Genomic DNA, 12,547 nt, shown 5'->3' on the forward strand with positions numbered 1-12,547 from the left:
TATATGTATTATATACTACACTATTACATTAAAGTAAGCTAGAGGAAAAAATATTAAAATCACAAGACAATATATACTCACTATTTATAAAGTGGAAGTAGAGCATCATAAAGGTCTTTATTCTCATCACCCTCACACTGAGTAGGCTAAGGAGGTGGGAGGAAGAGGAGGAATTGGTCTTGCTGTCTCAGGGATGGCAGAGGCAAAAAAAAATCTGCATAGAAGCAGACCCCCTTTGTTCAAGCCCTTGTTGTTCAAGGGTCACCTGTACATCTAATTTTACCATGGTCTTTTTGATGATTTCAGGTTTAATATTGAAACTTTGGCTAAAATTCACCCACGGGAAAAATAGAAAGTATCATGGATTTTTATATAAAAGGAGTCCTGGCTGTACTATTTACAAAGCATGCTAACATATCACTTTTCTTCTCTGAGTCTTCATGTTTTCTGAATATCAAAGGTTTCAAACTTCAGAGAGCTGTACGGGACAAATCAAATAAGACATTAAAAACGCATTCTGGAGAGTAAAAATGCTAGCAAATACAGGTGTCTCAACTTACTTGTTACCTTCCATTTCTGTCCCCTACTCACATTGCTTTCTTTTCTGTAATTGTGTTTAAAGCTGTCCAAAGAGACTCTCCAAATGCTGGGCTCTCTGTCTGGAAGTTTCAAATGAGGCTTTTGGATGTGCATCTTTTTATCTGAGGGTAGGATTGGGGCAAGAAAGAAGGTGATTTAAGTGTACTGGTTGCCTGGGTGACAATTAACTGGGTATTGCTTTTAGGGAGTCATACAGAAAAATAGAAAAGACCAGTAAAAAATGCCATCCTAGTTTGAATGCTGGATGTAGTGAAGGGGGTTTTGATGAAGAAACTGTTGAGGAACAATTGAGATTAGAACCACTTGGAGAATTAAAATTTTAATAAGGAGGCATTACTTTAAAGTGAGGGGAGGGATTTATCCTAACTGATGCCTTGTTAAAAAGAATAACACAGAGTAAATAGTCCTAAGAACAATTGCAATCTTTGGAGTCTGTAATTTGTAATTGCTGCACATAATTTCAGTTAACAGGCCATGAGAGGAACAGTCACACATACCAAGAAAGGTACATACGGAGATAATTCCAATCAAAGTGAGCACAGCCTACGCATAAACAGGATGTAAGTACCGCAAGTCACCAAAACTACACTCAGGAGAAAGTGCTCGTTATTAACAGACTGTGGATTAGTTTCAATATCTACACCAGGGGTCATCAAATAGGCCCACAGGGTGGTCCTGGATTTGCAAACACAGCTGTTGTTGTTGTTGTTGTTGTTGTTGTTGTTGTTGTTGTTGTTGAGATGGAGTTTGGCTTTGGCTTTTGTTGCCCTGTTGTCCAGGCTGGAGTGTAATGGCCCGATCTTGGCTCACCACAACCTCTCCTTCCCAGGTTCAAGCGATTCTCCTGCCTCAGCCACCTGAGTAGCTGGGATTACAGGTGTGCACCACCATGCCAGGCTAATTTTGTATTTTTAGTAGAGACGGGGATTCTCCCTATTGGTCAGGCTGGTCTCAAACACCCAACCTCAGGCGATCCGCCCACCTCAGCCTCCCAAAGTGCTGGGATTACAGGTGTGAGCCACCACACCTGGCCGCAAGTAGAGTTTTACTGGAACACGGCCATGTCTCCTCATTTGCTATTGTCCGGTTGCTGCTTCCACACTACCAGGACAGGGCTCAGAAGTTGTGATAGAGATTGTGTGGCTGGAAAAGCCTAAAATATTCAATGTTCTGGCCCTTTGAAGAAAGTTAACTGAACCAATCTAGACTGTTACACTTACAGTGAAAATAATTAAGGATTAGGAGTTGGAAGGATAACTCAATAATTCCATTCAGTTGTGATGTGTATTGTCATTATTTCATTCAATCAGCAAATAACTGTGATGACATGTGCAAGGAAACATGGGAGATGCAAAAGTTTAGTAAAGCAGGTATCCTGCTATAGTGGAGAGAGCTCAGGACTCTGCAGACCTGGGCTTGAAACCCAACTTGAATGGATTAAGTGGCTTTGAAGGAGTTACTTGGACTCTCCTTAAACCTCAGTTTTCATGATCATTTCACATCATCATTTCATAATCACGATCATTTTCTATGGGCATATCTATTTAAAATCTGTCTATCAGATCCCCCAGTCAATATGGAGATTGCGGTAGGCACCAAGACAGGAAGGTGTGATTTAGGATCAACTGGATTTATAATTTTAAAAGAATTTATTTATATGACTGATGTTTTGTCTGGTGGAGCCTGAAGTAACTATGTAAAATATCCTTGTATTATTACTGCTTGTTTATGTTACTTATATAGTTATATTATTTCCCAATCAATTTCATCTTTTGTATTTTTATCTTCAAAAGTTTTGGGCTTTACGATCTCAAAACACATTTTCATCATTCACATATTAAAAAAGTGACTTTTTTCAGAGTTTTGCTATTGAAGCAGTGATACAAAACTGGTTGACTTTTTTTCTGGGGCAGAGGAGAGAGTCACCAAGTCAATTGAATTAATCATTTACCTCACCACTATATATACCAGACACAGATAAGACAAACTGACTTTTATAAAATCCCTGCAAACCCATCATTACAAACATTAACTGGGTCAATTTCACCTGAAGGCAGGATTACTCTTTCCTATACCAATTTCGGATTTCCCAGATTAACCCGTTTTTTGTTTTTTGTTTTGTTTTGTTTGTTTTGTTTTGTTTTTTTAAGAAGTGTGGCATTAGCAACATATTCAAAAGTCTAAATGCTTATAAGCTGCTTTGAAAAACACATTCAAAAGTAGAAACAAGGTTTTAGGGAAGCAAAGATAGGAAACATGAATGAGGGTTTAGTAAACATAGCATAAGACACTTGTTATCGAGGCAAAAGGATTAATTGAGCAGTAACATCATCAGCTATGGTTGGACAGAGGAGTGGAGATAACAGAAGTGCTATATCCCTGCACAAATAAGGAATCCATTTTCAGTTTAGACTCCAAGCAGGAAGATACTGCTGCTGCCTCTTGAAGTACTTCGTTCTTTTTCTCTGAAGCTTGAAAAGTCACTTTACCCAGGAGTGGGTGAATCTGGGGTGTTGTTTCTGTGCCTCTTCACGCAACTTGATTGGCATATAAAGATACTGCTATAGGTCTCTGGGTACTTCAGTTTCTATTGCCTAAAATATGCTTCCAAAATTAGAAAATATGAGCTTAACTCTCGTAAGAGCTGAAGAAGAGTTTACAACCTTAGAAGACATAGCTCTGTAATTCTGAAATAACTCAAAAACTATTTTAAAATTTCTTCTTCTCCAGTCTTCCTTCTTCCAACACATAACATTTTCCCAAGGGAAGGCTTGTAAAAGCTTCTCAACAGAGAAAACTCTTAGGAAAGAAATGGAAAATTATAGCCATATCAATGAAACCTAAAAATCAGGCAAAATACATAAAAGGGAAAGAGATGTTATTCCTCCAGATTTATACATTCACATCTTAACTGATGAAAGCTTCTCTGATAGAAGTGTGCCCTGACCCCCTGACATGACATAACCTCCACAGTCATTTTCTTCACAATCATTTCTTATATTCACCTGCTTTATTGTCTTCACAGCACTCTGTCACTATCTGAAATAGTTGTTCTGTTTGCACCGTTACCGACAATTCCTCATCCCCCATTTGAATGTAGACACTGAGATCAGAGCCTCTTCTCCATTTAGCTTAGTGTCTAGCACATACTAGACATTGAATAACATGTGGTGAATGAATGAGTGAATGAGATGTTCCATGGCAGAGTTCATCTCCCACCTCTGGTTGACATTCAGTCCCAGCAAGGATGTGCAGCTATCAAGAAGTAAGCACACACTCCGATATTACATCTTTGGGACATTCTTCTTCGGACTGTTGCAAAAAATTTCCTTGTAATGTATACAGAGAGCAATTGAAAACTCTGAAACTCTAATGCATTAGACAAATATAGATCTTTTAATGAATACTTTTATTTAATAACCAGAATAGCCCTTAGGTATTGTCTAATTCACAGCTCTTTATATATAGCAATGGAGAAATTAAAATTAAATGGCTTTTTTTTCCAAGGTCACAAGCTAGTCTTAGCTTTAGCCAGTATGAAATGCCACGTCTCTGAACTCCTAGCCTGGTGCTCATTTTACTGGAGCCAAGAAGATACCTTCATTGCTGGGCAAAGGAATGAACAATGATTGAGTACCTAACACGTTTCTAGGCACTTTGTTAACTGCTTGTGGTAGACAATGTGTGTTGCTGACCCAAGCACCATTTCTTCTTCCTTTCTTCCTTACAGAATCCCAAATTTTTAAAGTCAGCATCCCATCAGTAGCTCCAGAGTCAGATTCTGTCTAGTCTAAGTCAATTCATGCTTAGCAGGTCCCATTACAACAGCCACTGGTCCAGGGGTGGCCACGTAATTTAATTCGGTCCAATCGAATTGAAGGAACAGAAATGAGCCATGCCTGGAGGACATGATTCTCTTCCCACCTTCCCCTTTCCTCTGCTAGTTATAAACAGGGAGATCTACAGCCCAATGGCTGCTGGTAGCCATCTTGTGGCCATAAAGAGATTCATCTTTAGAATGAAATCACTGCTGAAGATAGTAATGTCTATATTTATATTAAGGGTCAGTAAACTCTGCAAAGAATCATATAGTAAATATTTTAGCATTGCCAATCTGATGGTCCTTGGTTCCTGCAGCAACTATTCGACTCAGACATTATAGTGCAAAAGTCACCAGAATGACATGGCTATGGTTCAGTAATATTTTGTTTTCAAAAAAAAAAGTCATCAGGCTGTTTAAATCATTGAACCCTTTTGACATCATTGAGCCACATATTTCATCATTCCTTGAGCTTATCCTGCACATTAACTCCCAATATTTGAGATGATCAATTTCCTTATGATTTAAACTGGCTTTAGTAAGAGAATTTTTAAATGTTATTACTAAAACCAAATCAATATAATTAATTCAGCATTTATATACATTATTACTCATAATATTCACAAAACTCCCATAAAGCTGATATTAGTAGACTCATTCTTAAGATAAGAAAATAGAACCAAAGTTTCAGAGTCTTTGAAAATACTGGTTCAAAAACCAGCATTTGAACCTAAATATGTCTAATCTTCTACTCTATGATGACCCAACTCCCAATTATCTATTCCTCAGCACTTAAAAGTGGAAGAACAGTAGCTGCTTCAGTAAAGTTCCAAACCCACCACCAGCTTATCAAACAGAAAATGATTTCATGCAGGGAAGTGTGCACTTAGAAAGTCTTTTGAAGGGCTGGAGGAATGGATGTCAGTGGACTGCCCTTGAATTTTTAGTTTCTAGGTCATACCATTATATGTGAAATCCAGAAGTCAGGCAGTGGCTACTGCTATCAGTTCCTACCACTGTAGCCACCATAGCCTCCTCACACCAATGGCTCCCCAGAATGTCATGTTGAACCACTATAAACTTCATAACTGTCAAATTTTACCTGTAGCTACAGCTGCATGAAAATGGCCTCTGCCTCACTTCTGATTTCCAAATCTCTTACAAGTGCATGTAAATGACTCCAGCTGCAAAGGAGTTTGGGAAGTATACTTTTTAACCTCTCCAATAGGAGGATCAAATGGAGATTGGTAAGACTTCTCTTCAGAAGATTGACTAAGGCTTCTTCCTAGAATGTCTGGCATGTGTATCTCCCATACCTGACAAAGAATGAGGGCTTCGAGACAGCTAAAAAATTTTGAACAAGCTTTAAAGGACTATTTTCTCATCCCCAGTCCCATCAGCTGAGCCAGAATAATGACTTCATAGTAATTTTTCCCTGTACCTTTGAGGGAAAGTAATGCATTCATTATTGGAATAAAAGTGGTTCATGTGTATAAATCTTGCCCTTGGCAAAATAAATTATCAAAGCTCATGCCAATGGGAGAGATGGCAGGTCCATGATGCTAAGAGCCAAGTTCCATAAAGTGATAGGGAAGCAGCTTTCTTTTATCCAAAAGAATTTATGTTTTGTGGCTCAGTGTTGGTGAGGTATTGATCTTCCAAATGAGACACTGTGGCCACTGTAAATAAATTCAATAGATGTGTAGTTGGCCTAAGAATATAACCTCAGTTATTTAAAACATGTGGCACTTGATGTAGATCACCTTCCAGTGGTCCTGTGTGGAAGAATGGAGCTTCCACCCAGTACAAAGAGTACTCTGGGACTCCATGCCTAAGCTCCTTAATTAGCATAGTACATGTTTGGGGGTAAATAACTCCACCTCTCTCAATCTTAATTTCCACAGCCCTGAAATTTGGACATGATAGTATGGGAGGATTCATGAGAAAATGTGTGTGGAATGATTTGAACTTCTTGAAGAATACATACTCAGGAATACTGCTATTTGTGATGAGATAGTGTCAGATGCATAAATTTGGGTTCTTTGAATTACTGGCATACAGGAAAACAGCAAATCTAGGTCAACAGAGACCTTTTTCTCAGACTGCCTTTACTATGAATAAAAGACAAAGGAACTTTTCTAACTTTCTCAGAAAAGTGTCAACTTCTATAATTATTTCAATAAATAATCTTCCTCCAGGAGGATATAATTTTAAGGTGTGTGCAGTGTCATTTTAAAGACAGGTTTGTAGGTCTCACTTTCTTTTATTTCCAAGTTATCCCCTGGCAACAAGGGCTGTTTATGTGGAGTATTAAACAAGCTTCAGGACTGTGCACAGAACTCACTCCTATTATATCTTATTTTAATCTGATATTACCAAACTTCCCATGAACTAAAAAAAAAATACCCATAAATTTTAAGTCCAGTGAGATTTCTGTTTTCTCTAAAAATTAGAGAGCTGAACTGTGTTTTGTGTGAGATCATCCAACAGTTTTTTAAAAAAATCTTACTTCAGAATCACATTGAAATCATTATGTCTTCTGGAAACCAGCTGATAGCCAAAACATTTATTTAAATTGTTTATAAAATGGGTGGGTGGTATTTCATAATAGTTATTGGTTTACTATGCATGACCTGTTGATCTACCTGTTGAAACCATTATTTTAAAATGTACTTCCCCCAAAAATGCTACTTCTGTATATTTGTTTTTATCAAATATAAATTTACCTAGCTCTTTTAAGACACAGATCTCACCCACTGAATTATGACTAACATGAATTTTGGAAATTGTCCTATTTTGATATGTCAGGAGAGAACGTTTTACTAGCAGGTTTCATTAGCCAAGGTGGACCAGTGGGTATTTTCTGACATTGCAAAAGCAGCTTCAAAGTGCCACTTTCTTTTCCAGGATGGGTCAAATAAAACAACTCTACTCCATTCTGTAAGAGATTCAGGCACAGAAAGGAGAAGATACTGGGCTGCTGACACATTTTCTATTCATAAATGCTTCTGTTTATAGTAGAAAATATGACATTCACCATGAGCTGACCAGCCATCAGTTCTGACATTTATCAGCATCACTTTAGAAACCCATGTGGAAAGGCAGAAAAGCAGAAGGGAACAGAAACTCACATGCCACTTGCAGCAGAATGCTTGTGCCATCCTGACTCCCCCTCTCTGAAAGCCTGACTGTGCACCATCCTCCTTGATAACAACTACCACCCACTGAGCAAGCCTGCGGTAGGTTATGTAGGTTCTAGGGGAAGGGGATACAAAGTTATGTTGGACACTTGGAAATGCTTAGAATCCAGTCGGGGAGCCAGCACAGGAAACAGTAACATCTGAATGCATAGCCAGCTACTGGCCCTCTACATGTATAGCCAGCTAATAATGTGTGTGTGTGCATGCACACACACATGACTAGAAGAGGCATTGTGCCTGGCAGTGAAATGACAGAGGAAAGGCATTTATTGTATGAGGGAAAAAAAAGTAGGGAAGTGGTATCTTAAGAGCAAAACATACAGTCTATTCCTTCCACTCCAAATAATTGAAGGCTTCTGAATGTGCATTCCAAATTTTGAGATTAAATGAATAAGGCCAACCTGCTGCTGATGGCCACAGTCAGAAAGGAGGGAAGAGACCACCCAACCCAGGACAGGAAGTGGAGCAGACTTCATCTGGAACTTGGGAATGCCTGCCTCCATGAAAAAAAGTGTAAGTGAGATTTCCCCCTTTTTGATCCATCTTCAACCACTTGATAAATTTTCACAAAATCAGTAATTTCCCAAAGTGGTTGTGATGGAGCAGGGTAGCTTCCTATTTGCAAGCATCGGGTTAAGTATCTATGTTTTAAAAGAATTAAACATGTTAATATAATACTGTGCCAATAGTGCTTACAAAACATGTGTGTGGGAGACACACTGCTGAGTTTCAGGAAATAAATATCCCTTAACACAACACATTGTAATCAAAGAAGCATATTCACAAAACGTTAAAACTTTTTGCCAACTTCATGTCAGCAAGCCCAGAGGGAGAGAACACGTATGCTCTTTTTCAATAGAGTATCACATTATAGACCCATTCAATAAGGTCTGTATGAGTTCATTTGTTTCCAGATAAAGATTTCTGTGTGTGGGGAGACCTAACAACAACAACAAAAAAAGGCTTCGTGGAGAACGGACAAATTAGTTGGTGTTTTAAAAGACAGAAGTATGCAGACAGTGAAAGAGGAATTTGGAGGAAATGTGTTGGGAAGGGTACCAGTAAATCTTAAACTGAGGGAAGAGCTCAGGCGAAACCTCCAGTGATCTTCACAACGCTCAGGAGAATGCTTATACATGATTTGCACACAAAATATTGAATTTGAAAAAATCTTATATTGAATTCCCAAGCCACTTGTAGAATGCAATGTGGCACACTAATGTGGTAGAAGGGACATAAAACAAACAAACAAACTCCCTACACAAATACCCATGGGAAAGGAAGAACAGCCTCACAGAACTTCAAAAAGAGAAAACAAAGAAAAAAAAATCTCATTTTCCAATGTATGCAAACATGTATTTTCTGAGCAAAGACAGGATTACAAGTAGGCAGAATATAAGATTTGAAAAGCAAAAGGAAAGGTTACATCTCCCCACCACCTACCACTCACAAACCAGTTCATCCACAGGCAAGCTGATACTGAGACTCTACAACTACATATTTATACTTTTGACTTAAATGTGGCCTTCTCTTGAACAGCAAATAATCCCGAGATTTACAAATTAAGCCACATGAGGCATTTACACATTAAAGAAATGAATTTTTAAGTCTTTCTTAAGATAGAGATTTTTGGGTTTGGAAGACAGAGAAAGAATGAGAGTACTTATGGGAAGATGGCATGGGTTAGGGGTTAGTAGCTTAATTCATAGATTAAAAGGAAGACCTTTATAGGAATCTGGTTGTATAGCTAGGAGCCAAACAGCCCCTTCCTGATCAAAAATGTTTTCATCTAGTCTTTTACAATAGAAATTTATTTATCTTGTTTTAAAGTATTCTTTATGTCATGCATGTAAATACCAATAAGGTATTTAAATATTCCCATATTGACAAGTATCACTTTGCTTCTAATCTTTTTTTTTTTTTTTTTGAGATAGGGTCTCACTATATTGCCCAGGCTGGTCTCGAACTTCTGGGCTCAAGCTATCCTCCCACTCCACTTCACCATCCTGAGTAGCTAGGATTATAGGCACAAGCCACCTCACCTGGATTTGCTTCCAATCATTTTCTATAAGCAAAATGTTACATGAAAATACTTGTATTTATATCTTTGTAATTTTGTGCAAGAATTTCTAAAAGAAAAAAATCTTAGAAATCCTAGAAAAATCCCAAGTCAAAAGGCACTTGTATATATAATTTTGAAAGGTCTTGTCATATTGCTCTCCATAGAAGATACACCAATGCATCTTCCTACCTGCAATGTATAGAACACCTGTGTCCCCATATTCTTTTTCCTTTTTTTTTTTTTTGAGACGAAGTCTTGTTCTTGTCACCCAGGCTAGAGTGCAGTGGCACGATCTTGGCTCACTACAACCTCCACCTCCCAGGCAGAGAATCAAGAGAATCAAGTGATTGTCCTGCCTCAGCCTCCCCAGTAGCTGGATTACAGGCACCTGCCACCACGACCGGCCAAATTTCGTATTTTTAGTAGACACAGGGTTTCACCATGTTGGTCAGGCTGGTCTCAAACTCCTGACCTCAGGTGATCTGCCTGCCTCAGCTCCAAAAGTGCTGGGATTTCAGGCATGAGCCACTGCACCTGGCCTGTGTCCCCATATTCTTGCCAACATAGTGTATTATCAAACTTGTTGATCTTTGCCAATCTGAAAAGCAAAAGTAGTATTCCCTTACAGTTTCAACTGCTTTTTACTTGATTTACAGTTTATCTGGGTAGAAAATTTAGGGATCATATTCTTTACAGGTTGTGGTTATTGCTTCAAAACACTCTAGCATTTTATATTAATGTAGAGCTAATAAGGATGACCTTATTTTTCTTCCCCTAGAAGGGTCTTTAACCTTTTGCCTGCTTGAGGAGTCCTTTATTATATTTCAAGTCCAGTAGTGTTAACAGAATATGTCCTTTAAATATATAGACTTAGGTCTCCTTTTATAAATAAGTCCTCTTGAATTATATTTTCAAATACATTTGAATCATCCACCACTTTTCTAAACTCTACAAGCTCATATTTCTTTCCATAGTCTTCTCATATCTTTCCTGAACTCTTACATGAATTTTTTGTGCTTTTATTTTATGAAAGCAGTTGCTTTAAGTCTTATTTTAATTTCATTGATACATTTAGGAAAAACTTTTATTGTTCTGTGAAAAACAGGTTTGTTTTCCAGAGATTATTCTGTAACTGCCATTTGGTTTTTATGTTCTCTTTAAAAATGACAATACATACTATGCTAGTTTTTGTTGTTTTTAAGAATATACCTTTTTCATTTGACTAAAAATCCTTGACCAGCTCTTTCCAGAAAATGTGGCAGGGGAACAGAGTCATGCTCAAGTCTAAAAAGACAGAATTATATATGTTATTTCAATTTTACTTCGCCCCAGTCTACCAAAATCAATTCTGCAGAGCTGCTCACAATGTGAAATTTCCTTATGTCCTCTACCTCACTGATACTCTACCTGCAAATGCAGCTCATCTGTGAACATGGCCCATGCAGATTTCCCTCTCTATTTCTCCTCAGAATCAGAGTCAGGGAATTTCCCACTAAGAGTCCCTAGACCTTGGTCCTGTTGTAAAGAAAAACGTGCTGTTTTGCAATAGGTTATGCCACTTAAGTTAGAAAGGAATGCTTTGCCAACATTTTCTGAGCTCTGAAGTTATGACCATTTTTTTCCAGTGTCTCTCTCCACTCACACCTGTTTCACCTTGACTGATTTGGGCTGCTCGCTTCTTATTTTGCAATTCAGAGATTTAAGTAGTCTGCTGGTTTCAACCAAAAATTTAACGTTTTTGCTTTTTATTTTTCTGGTTAGTTTTTAATAATAATTGAAAGAAAAAAATAAGAAATGGTCATTTTAATCAGCCACCATAAAACTAAATTTTTTAATGTTTCTTTAAGGGAATATTTTAACTATATTTTGTTTCTTGTATTGTAATTGGTCTATTTAGGTTATCTACTTTTCTTGAGTCAATGTTGGTAATTTACATTTTTCTAGAAACTATGCATTTCATCTGGATTCTAGATTTTTTAAAAATGTATATGCTATTTTACATATATTTCGTTACATGTATAATGATTACATATATGATAAAAATGATATATGTTATTCTTTTTATTTTTAAAAAGTTCTCTTTATCTGTAATTATATCCCCTTATCTTCTTTCTTCAAGTAACTTACAAAGTAGATTGGTACAGATTACCAGATACTTTTCAATGTTGTTTAATTCATAATTTTTTCTTTGCAAATTCTGATTTACTTGCATTTTACTTATTATTTTCCTTGATTTAGAATACAATACTTTATATTAAACTATGTTGTTTTCAATTAAGCATTTTGGGGATTGTGAAATTAACTCTGAATATTGCTTTTATTGTATCTCGGAGGGATTGATGGTTAATATTCTCACTGTTTGTTTTTAAAAAGTTTCTAACACCAATTTTGATTCTCTGTTTATTGTCACTGTTATGCATTTTTTTAATTTCTATGGTAAATGGATTTAATTGGCTATTAATTCATTGTTCTTTTCTAAATTTATGCATGTAGTTTAATGATATAGTCTAAATTATATCCATTTGGTATTTTGTTTTTAATTTCTTGAGATGATGATTAATGACTAATGTCTAGTAAATTATTTTAGATATTTCATTAATGTTAAAAATAATGTATATTCTTAGCTTAAGTAACATATTTCTATGTTTAGTAAATATATGTTGTTCATCATGTTTTAAAAATTTCCCGTATTCTTAGTTTCCAAGAAAAAAGCATTAAAGTGCCATAGAATATTAAAGAGCAATTAAAAGAATGAAGATCTCTTCATATGCTGGTAAGAAAAGTCTTCCATATGTTTAGTGTTAAACTAAGTTTGGAACATCTCCTACAAGTCTTTGCCCAAATATTCTCAGTGAAGCTTGCCTG

Source organism: Homo sapiens, chromosome 1 (genome assembly GCF_000001405.40).
Source record: "Homo sapiens chromosome 1, GRCh38.p14 Primary Assembly".
NCBI classification, from domain to species: Eukaryota; Metazoa; Chordata; class Mammalia; order Primates; family Hominidae; genus Homo; species Homo sapiens.